Genomic DNA, 16,603 nt, shown 5'->3' on the forward strand with positions numbered 1-16,603 from the left:
TGGGCATCGGTGTGCAGTAGGCGCTCAGTCACACCACGCTCATCACTGAGATGTGGAAGGAAAGGGGTTGGTCGGGCCCTTTGCTCTCCTGTGCTGGTGGCCAAGCCCAGGGCTTGGGTTGTAAAACCACAGGCCTGACTGCTTCTCCTTGAATTGTCCTGAACCTTGACCCTTAGCGCCCTCAGGTCGTTGTGTTGTTTGGATTGGTGATTTCATTAGGATTTCTCACCCTTTTCATTTATTTCATTTAGGCCCGAGGCAGAACTTCTGGGAGCTAGCTGATCATCTGTCTTTTAATTTTCCTTTAGGGAGAAGAACTCCACTGGGCTCCATTTCTCCCTCTCATTGCTTGCTGGCACTGGCTCCATGGCCTCTTTGTTGTGTTTTTGTTTTGTGTTTTGTTACCGTCCCCTCTGGCACCAGATCAAGGGGCAGGGAGGGAAACTGGGACGTTTTGGAGGAGGGTTGCCAAAGAGTTGTTGCAGGAAAGAGGCATGGTCAGAAGACCAGTTCAGCAGCTGAGCAGCGACAGGAGCACTTCCAGTTCCTCCAGGGCCTGAGCTCAGAGCGGGGAGGACCATGAGGGGCCGCGGTATGGCGGCGGTGGGGTAGGGAAAGAGCCAGGAGAATGAAGGAAGAGCAGCAGCTTATTTAATTTGGAAAAACAAGGGAAAAGCTCCAGTCCACATACATCTCTTCTTTCTTCCCCTTCCCTGATGCTCATGAATAGCACGTGGAAGGGTTGAGTGTTTCTGCCCCACAGTGTGGCTTCTGCCGGGAGTGGGGGCACACATTCCAGGCTTCTGTGCTGCCTGGGTAGCTCCTTCTCCTGGCCTTTCAGGTCCAGGATTACAGACTCAAACTGTATTCACTGTGGGGGCAGGGTGGGGGGTTCTCCCCTTTTTTTCTCCCATGTCCTAGTCATTTGGTCGCTGCAAAATGATTACAACATGCAGGAGATCTCTTGCCACCTGAACCATTTTTAAATCCTCTCCTGAGTACTAAGCCCAGTTCTTTCCAAATTATTTCCAGCAACTTTCGCCTCATGTGTAGGTTTCTCTGGATTAATCCCCAGTACAATCTTTTCCATCCTCAAAAGTCACAGACATTTTAGTTTTTCTGATTTCATGTCCCACCTTAGGTCAGATCTTTGAGGGGTGGGAGGGTAGGAGGTAAGGAACCACTCCTCATGCAGGATATTAGATTGAGAAACAGAAACCTACAAAAATTCAGCTCCACTTATTTTTAAACTGATGATCATGTCTGAATTAGATCAGAGCAAAAGCAAAGATTAAGGAAAAAGGCCTAGTACAAACTATAGCAAACACAGTGGACCAGTGCTGAACTTTGCTAGCTGTTCTGGGACGCTACAGCTAGGCAGGCTTACGTTAGTGCATAGTCATTCTCTTTTTTTTTTTTTTTTTTTTTTTTTTTGGAGAAATGGAGTCTCTGTCGCCCAAGCTGGAGTGCAGTGGTGCAATCTCAGCTCACTGCAACTTCCACCTCCTGGGTTTAAGCAGTTCTCCTGCCTCAGCCTCGCGAGTAACTGGGACTACAGGTGTGCGTCACGACACCCGGCTAATTGGTGTATTTTTTAGTAGAGACCCTGTTGGGCACGGTGCTCTCAAACTCCTGACTTCAGGTGATCTGCCCGCCTCGTCCTCCCAAAGTGCTGGGATTACAGGTGTGAGCCATTGCGCCTGGCTAGCATAGTCATTCTTAAGGGCATGTTCAGACCAAGTTCCTCTGGCTATTCTTGGAGCGGAGATGTCCTGGCAACTTCATTTCTCTGTCGTCTCTTACAAAACCCCCTTTCTCCAAGTTCTCTTAAAAATGCATCTTTGACTTATATTCTCTCCTGCCTGAGGGGCCTGCCGTTGTCCTCTGTTCCTGGACTTTCACCTCATCCTGCCGTCTAGACCTGGCATCTGTTTTGGTCAGTGCTCTGGATGTTCTTTAAGCAGCACATTCTTGCTGAGCAGAACACGGTGTTCAGCCAGGTTCCATAGCTCCCGTCATCCCCACCGTTGCTACCCAGGCCCTTGGTTGTCCTGCACTCCCGCTAACCCCCAGACTTTCTTAGAATCAAAACTTCCTCCAGTTGGATCACTGGGCTTCTATTCCATAACTCCTTCATTTCCTCTTGCCAAGAATGTTCTTTAGCAATCCGAAGTTATATTTGTTATTAAATATAAGACTTAAAAAAGGCTTGTATTTTTCCCCTGAAATCAGCTTTAATGAATTATGACAAAACTTAACTCATATTGCTAAACATTATATGTAATGGGTGTGCTCTTTCAACTTAGGGAAAAATGGATCCAGAACTGTTGGCAGCCTTTACACGTCTTTCATCGGCCTTTTTCTTTGTGGACCAAAAGAAAGGGCCAAACTTAGCCAAAACCATTGGCCGCTGATACTCTTGTGAAGACTGTGTTTTATTACCACTGCAAGAGTTGGGGGTTGGCCAAAATGATACCCAGACATTTCAGATCTTAATCACAGGTGCTGAAAACAGAGATGTGTTTGATTCTAGACCATTACAAGTGGGAGTTAATTACCACATTTCAATGAACTCTCCGTGTGCCCTCCTGCCATAGCAATTAGCAAGAGAGTGGCCGCTTGTGTGCTTGATGGTGTTTTATGACCATGGATTATATAGGAATTAGGAATGGCTTCGGGAAGCATTTGGTCCTCACAGTTATCCAATACCAGCATGGCCCAACCCCAGATATGTCAAAGCCACAACTGTTGCGTTTGGCAGGCATTCTACAAAATGTACTTGGTCAATACTAAATAGTTTCATTTAGCAGACCAGTTTATTCAAGTGCCTGACAGGAGTTTCCTGGATTCTCACCTCTCCTGAGAGGCCTTCAAGAGCATCGCTGAAGGTTTATCTACAGCTAGGGTAGGTTATGAGTAATGTCTTTTATGAAACTTTGCAAACCAACTGTCGTTCTGTTCAATTCCCAGAGGCAGATTTTTAGGGTTGCTGTGTCCAATACAGTAGCCACTAGCCACCTGTGGCTATTTCAGCTTAATTTAGTTACCATCAAATAAAATTTAAACATCAGTTCCTCAGTGACACACTAGCCAGTTTCAAGAGTACAGTGGTCACTCTTGTCACAGTGGTTATTGTATCAGACGATACAGAACATGTTAATCATCATAGAAAGTTCTGGACAGTGGTGCTCTAGAGTCTCAACATGTCACGTGTTCAGGGGATCACTGGATCTAAAGCCATTCCTTATGGGAAATGTTGGCTTTCTTGAAAATACACCAGAGACCAGAGAAGGTCACCATGTGGAGAAGAGGCAGCCTTCACTCTGCCAAGAATGCTGGCCAGGCTTCTCTGTTTTATATCTCATCACAATGAGGGCCATTCTGGCCCTCCAAAATATGGATACCAACCTTTACGCACTGTCAGAAATGGGCCACAATTCAAAGTGTTCTCTGCTGTTTCTGATGAACTGCCGTTCTCCAGCTCTTCCCTGAAATGGCAAGGAAAAGTGATGTTCCCTCAAGATCTGCCAAGGGAGATACTCCCTCTCTCTGGTAATCGTCGCTGTCTCCTTCCATCAGGTTAGACTACCAGGGAAGTACCTACCTGAATAGCATTAGCGTATCTTCCTCACTAGAATTATCTTTGATAGATCATACTTTAATGTTTATACCTTGGGCTTATTGATAATTTTAAAAAATCAATATGAAGATAAACTTGCATGTGCTGTGAAAGTCATTCATTACTAAAGATGTAGACCATTCAGGTAAAGCACTGCATAATACTCAGGATGTGCTGGTCTCTCTGGAAGAACCGTGGGACCTCCTTCCAATGGAGAATGCAAATGATGTGACCCACTGTTTTACATTTTGCCCCATCTGCCCAGAACTCCAGAGTTCAACTCAGCACTCATTTATATTGACTTGATTAGCCATGGTGGTTAGAAATTGGCTTTCTCTCCCTTAACCAGGTGTTTGATTTTCTGTTTTAGTTTTAATAACCTTATTGTGTATATCTTTTAATTTAATTCTCCTTAAATTGTTTTCTGAAAGAGGCGAAGTATAAACAAATGAATACAAATTTTATTTTCAGGTCCCCACATTTGATATTTTCTGTTTTGAGGTAGTCTCTATGCAAGCCCCAACCCCAGGCCCTGGCATAAATGACAGGAGGGCCCAGGGACCTCCTGGCAGTCTCATTTTTCTTTCATACCCTCCTGAGTATCTAGCACACTGCTAAACATATGCTGCTTAGAGTGATGTAAGGTAGAGAAACACTGTGCCCCGCGTGGGAAGGCATTACAGAATAAACTTAGGAAAGAGGGTCACCTCTCAGATTTAGTCAGATGACAAAGGCAGCACTGGCTTCCCTGGGGTGTAGAGATAGGAAAGAATTTGAATAATTATCATCATTATCATCACCACATTCATTAAACCCCATCTGCACATGGCACTGTGTAAGTCCCCATAGGTTTTTTTCTCTGCCAGTGAGAGAGAATTTTGTCCAGCAGGGAGGCGAATCCTGAGCTCTCCCCAGCTCACCAGTTTCCTCCTCGGGCTGTTCCACTCCACAGCCAGCAGCCTGGCTCATCACTGAGGTTGAGTCCATTGCCTCCTATGTTCTTGGGAGATCTCTGTGGTCCTTGGCTTATAATCATCTTTCACGTTCTAGGACTCTGGACTTTCCCTTTACAGCACTCACCACAGTAGCAATTAAGAACATTGATGCATAATGAATTAGAGATTCTCTTGTAGTACATTTTATCCAACTAGGGGGTCATCTCTGTTCTCTGCACCCCCATATCTCTAGAACCCCCCATTATGTGTGGTATGTAGCCAAGTGCTTGATGCATATTCTTAGCAGTAAATAGCAGGAATGAATGAATGAGTGTGTATCCAATTTGACTTTAGAGTTATTTCCCGACTTACAGCCGTTGAAGTTGCTGTTTCCTCCACGTGTTCAACCTTTGGGATTCACACAATACTTGACAGTCACAGCTCTGCCATGGGGGACATCATTACACAAAGCACTCCTCACCAGTAGTCAGATGGCACTTGATAGCTACAGGCATGTGAATATTCTTTTACTGTCAACTTTTGTTGTGATTTCACCTAAAATGTGATAAGCTCCTTGAGGATAAAGGCTAAGTCTTACTTCTTCGTATTTCTGGTAACCGCTTGTACCAAACACCTGCCAAGCATTGTTGATTGCACCTATGAGGAGGTGAGAAAGTGCCAGGCCGTCATGCCCCTCTATACAAACATGTAACAGTAGACTCTGGTTCATCAGGAGTAAATGACATGATATGTGATAGACCACGTACATTCGTGGCTATAGATAGGTGAGTAACTGTAACCATATCCAATTGTGAGCAAAAGTGTTTTAATTGGTGGTTTTAAACTAATATAAAATTGGCTAAATCATCATTTTTCAGCTTTCGAATCATCTGAAGACCTTTTTTTATTTTTTAATATTTAGTCTTGTTTTATTTATTTATTTTTGAGATGGAATCTTGCTCTGTCACCTAGGCTGGAGTGCAGTGATGCAATCTCAGCTCACTGCAACCTTCACCTCCCAGGTTCAAGCGATTCTCTTGTCTCAGCCTCCTGAGTAGCTGGGACTATAGGCACACACTACCACACCCAGCTAATTTTTGTATTTTTAGTAGAGATGGGGTTTCACCATATTGGTCAGGCTGGTCTCGAACTCCTGACATCAGGTGATCCACCTGCCTCGGCCTCCCAAAGTGCTGGGATTACAGGCGTGAGCCACCATGCCTGCTCTGAAGATCTTTTTTAAAGAACTGATAGATGTCCAGGTATGGTGGCTCACACCTGTGATCCCAGCAACTCGGGAGGCCAAGGTGGGAGGATTGCTTGAGCCTAAAAGTTTGCATCCAGCCTGGGCAACATAGCAAGACCTTGTTTCTAAAAAAAAAAAAAAAAAAAAAAAAAATTATGTAAAAACTTTTTTTTTTCTTTTAAGTACTGGTAGGACTGGATCCTACCACAGGAAAAAAATAATAATCTCTAGGGCTAGGTACCAGACAATGAAATATATTTTTTAAATAACTCACTTTTTAAAAAATTTCCACTTTTATTTTAGATTTAGGGGCTACATGTGCAGGTTTGTTACATGGGTATATTTTGTGATGCTGAGGTTTGGAGTATGAATGATCTCATCAGCCAGGTACTGAGCGCAGTACCCAATAGTTTTTCAACCCTTCCCCTCATCCTTCCCTCTCGCCTCTCATAGACCCCAATGTCTATTGTTGCCATTTTTATGTCCATGTCTACCCAGTGGTTAGCCCCCACTTACAAATGACAGCATTCAGTATTTGGTTTTCTCTTCCTGCGTTAATTCACTTAAGATAATGGCCTCCAGCTGCACTCGTGTTGCTGCAAAGGACGTGATTTTGTTGCTTTTTCTGGCTGCATAGTATTCCATCGTGTATATGTATTACACTGTCTTTATCCAGTCCACCGTTGATGGGCACCTAGGTTGATTCTGTGTCTTCACTCTTGTGAATAGTGCTGTGATGAACAGCTGAGTGCAGGTGTCCTTTATGGTAGACCATTTATTTTCTTTTGGATATATACCCAGTAATGGGATTTCTGGGTCAAATGGTAATTCTGTTTTAAGTTCTTTGAAAAACCTGCAAACTGCTTTCCATAGGCACTGAACTAATTTACCTTCCCACCAGCAGTGTATAAGCATTCCCTTTTCTCTACAGCCTTGCCAGCATCTGTTGTTTTTACTTTTAATAATAGCCATTCTGACTGGTGTGAGATGATAGCGTATTGTGATTTTGATTTGAATTTCTCTGTTGACTAGTGATGTTGAGCATTTTTTCATGTGTTGTATGTCTTCTTTTGAAAAGTGTCTGTGTGTTTTACCCATTTTTAATGGGGTTATTTGTTTTGTGCTTGTTCAGTTGTTTGAGTTCCTTATAGATTCTGGATATTAGACCTTTATCAGATGCATAATTTGCAAATGTTTTCTCCCATTCTGTGGATTGCCTCTTTTCTCTGTTGATAGCTTCTTTTGCTGTGGAGCTCAGATGTTTTTAATGTGCAAACATAGTTGAGAACTACTAACCCAGTCTTCGGGTATTAATCAGCACCAGCTCATTATTCCATCTCTGCCAACACTCAATCACAATTTGCTCTAGTTTGGTAACTGCCCTCGTTCAGATGGAGCAGAGTTGGAATTTTACAGTGTAGGGCTGGCGCCAGTTCCTGTCATTCTCCATCCAATTCCGAGCCAAGTGTCCAGCCTTAGCAGGGATCCCACATGCAATGGAAAAAGGGATGCTTTGTTCTCAGAATGGCTTATTCATTTACTAGATGTGCATTTAGCATCTGTTATGTACACGGTGGAGGAAAAGACAGTTAATTTCTGTGCTGTGCAGTCAAGGTTGGGATAAACGTGGTCAGGATGTCATGGGAGCTTCAAAGAAAGGAAACAGGCCCCTGTGTAGAGTCATCAAAAGAGACTTTCTGAAGGTGATATTAAAACCAAGCCCTGAAAGTTGCATGGAAGCTTGCCGGGATACTCTTTCCCCGTCTTTCACCTGGCTGATGGAAGAGCATGGGCACAGGTATGGAGGTGTGCACGAAGGTGGCTCATTGATCTATAAGTAGAAATTTCTATAAATAGAAATTGTGGTTGAAGCACAGGGCACAAGTGTGGCAAAGCAATGCCTTGGAAGCCATGCGGGCAATGTTGAGAGACAGCCCAAAGAGGTAAGCAGAGGCCAGATCAAAAAAACATGTTTATTTGCCATGGTGGGACAGATTTACCATGAAGCTCTTGAAGCTTAAGCTGCAGGGCCCCTGGGGAGGGGCCACATGTTGGGCTTTGTTCCTTTTTTAATTTGCAAAACTATATATATATATACATATATATATAGTATATATATATATGTATATATATATATATGTATATGTATATATAAATTATATAAGCTTCAGGCTCTACAAAAACCTGGATCTGAAGCTTAAGGACCTTTACTTTTTCCTGAAGGTAATAGGAGTTAATGAAGAAGGGAAGAGATGTGAGTTTTAGCTAGGATTATAATTTATCATTGAAACTGAGATACTTTGAGAGTAAAAGACCATGCTATTAATAGTATACCTACATCCCTCCCCCTCCCCCCCAAAAAATCCAGTAATCAGAACTTTCCTTGGCAAAAAGCAGTGTATGAAGACTTTGATTTTAGCCCACTTGGTTGGTAATCTTAAGATGCAGTTACAGGAGGTTGAGACTGGAGCAGGGAGACCAGTTAGGATGCTGTTACATTCAAAGGAGATGATCAGGGCCAGAATTAAGACAGCATTAAAGAAACTGAAGACAAGCAGTTGGGATCCTCAGGATGGGAAAGCACGGGTAAACGGGCAGGAGACCTCTGGGCGCCATTTCTGAACCGGGCAGCTGGGTAGATAGATGGCGGTGTCTTCCCTTGGCCTGATGGAACAGGGAGGGGGTGGCAGACATTGGGGGGAAGTGGGGATTCCAGCTGAATGTAAGGATGTCGGGAAGTGCCTGTGGAAGAGCCAAGAGAGGACGAGTTTAGTAAGTACTGAGGTTCTGGTGGCAGGTTCATATCCATCGCGGGGCAGTCGGGTTTGCTGTACTGCCACAGATGCCAACCGTCTGCAGATGCCACTTGGAGATGGAAACCACCTAATGCAAGAAGAGGTCAGGTAGCAGCATGGATGGCTCAGTGCAAACCAACCCTTCTATTTAAAACACAGCTAGGCCAGGCATGGTGGCTCACGCCTGTAAGCCTAGCATTTTGGGAAACCAAGGTGGGAGGATCACCTGAGCTCAAGAGTTTGAGACCAGCTTGGCCAACAGGGTGAAACCTCGTCTCTACTAAAAATACAAAAAATTAGCCAGGCGTGGTGGCAGGCATCTGTAATCTCAGCTACTCAGGAGGCTAAGGCATGAGAATCTGCTGAACCGGGGAGGCCAAGGCTGCCGTGAGCTGAGATCGTGCCACTGCACTCCAGCCTGGGCGACAAAGCGAGACTCCATCTCAAAAAAAGGGAAGAAAAAAAAAAAGCCCACAGCTAAAAGCCAGCCCTTCTGTGGTCATAGCAGCCAACATACATGGTAGGGCCTGAATCCATCCCCTTGCCACCTCCCTTAGCAGCCTGAATAGAGGCAGGCGCGTCTCAGATCATGGCAGCTGGTGACTGACGGAGCCCCTGATTCTCTGAGCTGACCATATAAGCTGACCCTGGATTTACTTAAAGTTAATTTTCATCATCATCAGCCTCGCTGTCTCACCAGCCCCACCTAATTCTAAATTTACCTAAGGTTCTTTTTTTTTTTCTTTTTTAAAAGCTTTAGGTCTATATTTTGGACAGAAGATGGTCTTTTAGCTCCTGATCTCATACTTAAATAAAAATGCTCTCATATTCTCCTTGATATATTTGCCTATTGGATTTGTTTAATGAAATATGGATTTATACCATAAATATTGGAGTCGTGTAGTCCATATTTCAATTAATGGATCATTTATATGTCATGCTAACTTTGTAATTACTGAAATGTAGGAATAGAGTGGATTGAAATGAATTTCTGTTCATCTTTCCATTCCTGCCCCCATCCAGGCATGTCTGAGCAGCTTGGATCGCAAAAGGGCAAGATTTACACATGGGGTTTGCAGAGGAAAGGGGTAGGGGGCTCGGAAAGGCGGCCTCCTCTGCGTGTGCCAGGAGAGCTCTATATTGCAGTGTGCTTTCTGGGTTCACCTAGGCAGCGTTACACAGCTGTCCTCAGAGGAGCGGAAAGCTGGGCTCTGGCTGGAGGGCCCGGTCATCAATATGCTGACAGGCCTTCATCATCATTTTCATCTCGGTTGTAAAGCACAGCCTATTTTCCCTCTTTGCCAAATCTCTGCTCCAAATGTACATAACTATAGATTTCTGACTGAGCCCTGCTGCCAGGAATCAACCAGAAAGCTTCACCAGACCTCTAAGACAGAGGACAAGTAAATTGTGTTCTCGGCTCCCGTGAACGGGGCCTGTCACTTTAACTGGTTTCTTCTCAGGCAGTGGGTACAGCCCAGGACACCCTTAGTGAACTTGCCACTGCCCCTGGTTTTCTTTCTCTCTCTTTCCTGCTCTTCCTCTCCTGCCTGCTGTTTGCTGACCAGAAAAATCTGGCTGGAGAGGCCCATGCAGTGAGTGAACATCACATACATAATTCTATCAGAATATATCCAAGGGTGGGGAATCATTGTTCTCGGAACTAGCTGAGCTGAAGCCCGAGCAGAAATACTAAAGTCAGTCGTGCCTTTGAGCTGCCTCTAACAGCGCCCTTTAGAGACCCATTTCATACAAAATTTGAAGCCTGTGTTTATTGCCCATTAAAGCAACCTTTATTTTATGGCAAATGTTGCAGTAATTGCCTTTTACGAAGAGCACTTTGTAACACACATGCACAGTTGAAAGAAAACCACTCTGGTATTGTCTATCGGGACTTAATGGCGCAATTAATTTTACTCCATCTGTTCCTGAGACTTTAAAGGAAAATGGATTTTTTTTTTGAGCGTACTTTAATGAAGAAGATAAAGCGGCCCGGCTGGTGTCCCACAGGCTCGGCGCAGTAAGTTCAGATTATTGCTCAGTCTGTCAGAATGGGCTGCTTCCCTCAGCAGCAGCCACAGCCAGCAACCCGCTCTGGCCCCTCGCCGCGCCATTCCTGATGACAAACTGCCAGCCAGCTCCCACAAAAGCACGATTAAAATGTCAGCACAGGATGACGAAGGGGCCAAGAGGGTCCTCAGAGACAAACTGTGTTCAGTGTGAGTTAATACTTTACAGCAGGGCTGGGGCCCGGCTTGCTGCGGGCTGGCCGGGCTGCTGGCTCGCCTTGAAGAGAACACCAGGGCAGGGGCTGGCGACTGGCGGCGGGGAAGCATGTGCACATGCGTGTCTGCACTGCTGTGTGCGTGTCGGGCATGCTGCTCTGTGCGGGAAGAGGCTCGTTTCAGAGGAAGCGTCCAATGGGCCGTTCAGGTTAGGGAGTTCCGAGACTCTCCATGATTTCTGAACCGTGGGGGACGGGGTGGTCGCAACCTAGAATGTGGGCTGGAGAGCGCTGTCCCAGTGGTGGCCCCGAGGCCACAGGTTCTGTCCCAGATGTTCTCAGCACCATTTTAGCGACAAGGGCAGCTATGAAAATGGCCCAGCTGCAGAAAGTCATTCCTCACGAAGAAATGGGTGTGCAGAGAATACAGTCAGCACCATTTATAGCCCCATGTCCCCAACCTTAGCCTTTGCACGGTTGGCTGGGCCACAGCAAGGGGCTCAGCAGCAAAATATCCTTGAATCAATACTGCTGCTTGACAGCATCTCCAGCCCCGCGCCCGTGTGTGCTAACTTGCTAGGGGGCAGGGCGCACTCTGCCGCTTTGGCTTAGTTCTCCCATGTCCCTTGATTCAGTGGTGTGACCAGAGGGGAGACTGCCTGTGGTGAAAAGGACAAGGAGATTTGCATCTCTGGCCTCCTGTGGAGACCCGATCTGCCGTCCTGGTGGGCAGCAGGTGTGAGCGCCTGCCATTGTCCCTAATGGTTATTACAAGTGATAAGCAGGACAAATGTGAAGTCATCTCTCCTGCTGGCAGGTCAGAGGGGGCTGGATTTAGAGCCCCTAGGAGACTAGGAAATTAGATGGTCAGTACCCACCGTGGAGGTTGTAGCAACTCCAGGCTCCAGAGATCCTGGACAGGGGTGATTCCAGATGTAGACTCATACTTGAAAGGCATCAAGAGCATCCATTGTTAGGACGGAGGTACAGCAGTAATTAGTGCAGAGTGCTAATAGAGGAACAGAAGGTAGGAAGGAGGCCCCAGCGAAAGGCAGCCGGGGGATTCGGTTTCCTCTAGGTCCAGAACCGTGGGCTGAGATTTCACAAAGGAGAAGTGAGGGAAGCCCTGCTGGTTTCTCATTAAGCCCCTTGGCCTTTGCTCATTCTTCGTGGGCTCCAATGGAGGGTGGACCCTGTGGCTTCTTCACTTTGCTCTCTGACCTCTTCAGCCCCTTCTCTGCTCTCTTCTCTGCTTGTCCTAGGACTGCTGTCTGCAGGCACAGATGCCCCCCGTTGAGCCACGCAGGTTTCTGTGAATCTGAGGTTCTAACTCCCTGCTGCCACTCTCTGGCTCCCACGTCTTCCCTGCCTGACACTCCCCTCCCTTCCATCCATCACCCTCCTCTCTCCTAAGAGTGCTCTCTGAATCTTATTGCCTTTTTATGTCTCTCTTGGGTTCTTCCTCCTGCCCTCTCCCTGAGCATGGTTTTCCTTTTTTGGAGCATCCCACAGCTCATGCCATTAATGGAGTCATAATAGCCACGGTTGGCTTTTCCCGAGCAAACAGACTTCTGTGGGCTGCAGAGGACACAGACCCCCACTGGTGGCTCGAAACACCCCTCCTGCAGGCAGTTCACAGGCTGGACCTTTAAGGTTCCCACCAGCCAGGCCACACATTGGTTCCTCCATATTTGTACAAAAAGATGTGAGCCAGGAGCAGTAGGCAAAGCCCTCTACCTTGGGGGGAAAAAAAAAAGTTGGTCTGGAGGATAATGGAAATTCGCATGGGGCGAGGGCTCTGAGAGCAGCATCCATGCCCCATGGGGTAGAGGGCAAGACAGTGACTGTCCGGGGGCCTTTTCAGGGTCGCTTGGTGAAACACACCCTATATGAATGTGTTGGGAGAACCTAAAGCAGAAGGGAGAGACATAGAGCAAAATCAGAGCGAGGGTCCCCCCACCTCTTCACTCTGGCTCTGGGAAGAGACTGCTGGAGGATTCTCCACAGCACAGCTCACTCACCCATCCATTTGCTCACCAAGTACTTACTAAGCTTCTCTCCAGGTAGCTAAAGACACAGAACATGGGCCAGGTGCAGTGGCTCACGCCTGTAAGCCCAGCACTTTGGGAAGCCGAGGTAGGTGGTGAAGTCAGGAGTTCGAGACCAGCCTGGCCAACATGGTGAAACCTGTCTCTACTAAAAATACAAAAATTATCCGGGTGTGGTGGTGGTCATCTGTAATCCCAGCTGCTCGGGAGGCTGAGGCAGGAGAATCACTTGAACCCTGGAGGCGGAGGTTGCAGTGAGCTGAGATCCCACCACTGCACTCTAGCCTGGGCCACAGAGCAAGACTCCGTCTCAAAAAAAAAAAAAAAAAAAGGACAGAACACATGGAATGCCTGATCCTTGATTGGGCCGTAGGTCTAGATTTTTTAAAAGCTTGTATATAGGATATTTGAGGGGACAGCTGGGGAAATTTGAATGTGAACCGTCTATTAAATAATGCCTCAATTGAAATTTCTGGGTGTGGTAATGTTCTTACTCTAGGAAATAATACACTTTCCTAAATTTTAAGATGGTTTAGGAAAAAGAAATACACAAAGAAACACACATTCACAGATAAATGTGGAGAAATGTTCATCATTGTCGGATGCTGGTGAAGGGTGATGGCTGTGTCAGGATTATTCTAGGTACTAGATCCATATCATCAGCATTGATTCTGGGTACTAGATGTATATCATCAGTGCTGATTCTAGGTACTAGATCCATATCATCAGTGCTGATTCTAGGTACTAGATCCATATCATCAGTGCTGATTCTAGGTACGAGAAACATCAGTGAACAAAACCAGCAAAAGGTCCCTGCCCTTGTGGTGCTCACCTTCTAGTGGTGAGAAGAGACAAGGAGAATTAATGAGTAAAATGGGATCTGTTGGAAGGGGGTTGGGAGTGCTGGAGTGGGAAGGCGCCATTTGAAATAGGAGGACAGGAGGCATCTCCCTGTGAAAGGGGCGTGTGAGCCAAGACTTAAAGGGAACAGGAGGCTGTGCGCTGCAGAGCACTCCAGGCAGAGGGAGAAGCCAGCACAAAGAACCTGGGTATAGTGTGCCTGGGGCTTTTATCCAGAATGTCGAGTGTCCTGTGAATTCCACTTTCCAGCGATCCACCTTTCATCCCCCATTTGCTGTTCGGCGGGCCTAGCCTTGGAAATGACCTTGCATGCTTGAGGACACCCTTTGGATTTAAGCTGCACGGGCTGGACCTGTGGCAGCCCTCTAGAGTGCATGCATTCAGAGCTGTTGGCCTGGCTCCGTCACCTTTGTGATTCGGTACATCATTCTCTCCACACACAAGATCTTTCCTGCCCCAGTGTCAAGGGCGATAACCACGATGAGGAGAAAGCACGAGGCTAGGAATAAGACCATGTGCATATGGACCCACATCCTCCATCCCATCTGATTCAGCGGGGTGACCTCAGCCAACCACTTGGCTTTTCTTAGCCTCAGCGTTCCTCCTCTGTAAAATGGGAGTAGGTGCAACTTCCTCCCAGAAAGGTTAAGAAGATGAGATGAAAGTGAGCAAAGGCAGATTGTGAGCTGCACATTGCGGAAACTGTTAGCTCTCTAGACATTCTTGGTCTCTGAGCAGCTTAGTGTTGGGGGCTGGGGTTAGCAGACATGGTCCTTGGTTGCTGGTCTCCTGCTGAGTAACCGGAGCCTTGAAGTGAGTCACAGAGCCTTATACCCCTTCACCATCTGTAAAGAGGGAGTCACCACTTAGTGACGTCTGCTGTGTCATCCACCTCTGAGAGTGGGATTCCAAGAACCAGAGTACCGAGTGCCTTATGAATTCCACTCTGCGAAAAAATTAATAGTACCTTGGGGTCTTTCATGCCACGTTAGAGGTTGGCTTCTGCTGCAGGCTAGCCAGGCATTGCTCGACAGGGCATCTTGTTTGAGCTCCTCTTCATGTCTGAACCACAAAGGCACAAGCCCTTTCAAGGACATGACATTCAGATGTGCCTCTCCTGTGTGTCCTCTCAACTTTGTGACTTACCCCCTTGGCTGCCAGTGAGGCCTTCTGAACATTGTGAAGGCAGAGAGGGCTTTATAGCAATCAGGCTACTCTTTGGAAATTGTGCTGCCTTTTAGTGGAGATAGGTTAGCTCCTGCAAATCCTCGAGGCCATGGTGAGCAGCCAGCCCCTCCCCACAGCCCGTCCCAGGCCTTGAAGGGCTTCATCTGAGGACCCGAAGGCCTGGGTTCCTAAGCTCTCCCTGAGCACCATTTGGGCAAGTCATACACAGAGAGGGAGAGGAAACGAGTTTTAGGAGTTCTTAGCTGGGTTGTTCCCATCTCTAGGTGGCCTGGCAGTGGGAAGGAGAGAGGTGAGAAGAGCATTGTTTATCAGGTACTGTCAGAGGACTATTCCTGGAAAACACTGCTGAATCTTCTAGAAGGGGTGATTTGTGTTCTTTCCATATTGGCAGGTTTTCATTTCCCTGCTTAACATGACTAAGGACTGCAGGACCTGTGCATGCTGTTAGGTAACTCTGGCCCCAAGATGGACCCTAGGAGAGACTTTGACACACAATTGATGATGTGCCAGGTGGATAGAAGTGGAAGTGCAGAGCACCCAGGCACTTTCAGCCAATTAGTCTGGAAATGACATCCAAGAGGCAGAGAGGTACTGGCTGTGCTGCCTCCATTCGTGTGTTTGCCTCTGGAGCAAAATCAGGCTGGGCTGCTCTCTGTAGGGATCATGCCAAGGATTTGGCAGCTCTCTGGAAGAAGGAGTGATTTGGCCAAGTAGATGTGGGCCTCTTATGTCTCCGGCAGGTCTTCAGACTCAAATTCTTAAGAGACCAAATGACATCTTGCCTAGGCTATCAGGCAGCACCATTGCAGAGAGGCATGGATGAAGCTGTGTCACGAGGAGTGGCCCGGGCAAGGTGTGAGATGGTGGCTTCACTTCCTTTCACAAACTCTAAGGCAGCATGTTCTCCAGGTGTGGTCCCTCACCAGCAGCATCGCCACCTGGGAACTAAATCAGAAACTCTGGGAGTGGGGCCCAGAGAGCTGTGTTGCAGCCAGTCCTCTAGGTGATGTTGGTGTGCTTTCAGAACCACTACTCTAAGCAATACCTTCATATTGACCACTATTAAGACAGATCACTTCCACTGACAGAGTAGTTGCTTATGGCAGCCATGGCAAGGTGGAAACCGTAGGTATCAGGAGACCTGCGTTCAAGTCCCCCTCTTATGGATACATTTTGTGGGACCTTAGAAAAAACACGGAACTTTTTTGAGCCAGTTTATTAATTTATAAAGTGGGAATAATCATACATCATCTCCGTGGATTTTGTGAGGATTAAGTTAAATTGATGGCCTACAAAAATACATTTTTTTTTTTTTTTGAGACAGAGTCTCACTCTGTCTCCCAGGCTGGAGTGCAGTTGTGTGATCATAGCTTACTGCAGCCTCAAACTCCTGGGCTCAAGGGATCCTCCCACCTCAGCCTCCCCAAGATCTGAGACTACAGGCATGCACTACCATGCCCAAGTAATTTTTTTTTTAAGAGATGGGGGTCTTGCTATGTTGCCCAGGCTAGTCTTGAACTCGTGGCCTCAAGTGATCCTCCCACCTTAGCCTTCCAAAGTGCTGGGATTATAGGCGTGAGCCACCACACCTGTCCAGAAAGTGCTTTTTAACTTCCAGTATTTTGCATGTAAGATGGCATTGTTATGTTTATCGAACACCTGCCAGTTTCCAGGCAAACGTGATCCT

General features: G+C 46.6%; 1 protein-coding gene across 26 annotated transcripts in view, besides 2 other annotated features; it reads left to right on the plus strand.

Annotated features, from left to right (window-relative positions):
• Positions 1-16,603, plus strand: part of AUTS2 (activator of transcription and developmental regulator AUTS2) — a 1,195,032-nt gene that overhangs the window by 1,021,957 nt on the left and 156,472 nt on the right. The gene's annotated exons all lie outside the window — the stretch shown is intronic.
• Positions 10,362-11,140: an enhancer, noted in NCBI's record as "H3K27ac-H3K4me1 hESC enhancer chr7:70095779-70096557 (GRCh37/hg19 assembly coordinates)". NCBI's record gives its function as "activates a minimal SCP1, AML or CMV promoter by ChIP-STARR-seq in naive H9 embryonic stem cells {active_cell/tissue: H9 hESC(naive)}" and the evidence as "EXISTENCE:reporter gene assay evidence [ECO:0000049][PMID:30033119]".
• Positions 11,141-11,918: an enhancer, noted in NCBI's record as "NANOG-H3K27ac-H3K4me1 hESC enhancer chr7:70096558-70097335 (GRCh37/hg19 assembly coordinates)". NCBI's record gives its function as "activates a minimal SCP1, AML or CMV promoter by ChIP-STARR-seq in naive H9 embryonic stem cells {active_cell/tissue: H9 hESC(naive)}" and the evidence as "EXISTENCE:reporter gene assay evidence [ECO:0000049][PMID:30033119]".

The sequence above is a fragment of the Homo sapiens genome, chromosome 7, assembly GCF_000001405.40.
Source record: "Homo sapiens chromosome 7, GRCh38.p14 Primary Assembly".
NCBI classification, from domain to species: Eukaryota; Metazoa; Chordata; class Mammalia; order Primates; family Hominidae; genus Homo; species Homo sapiens.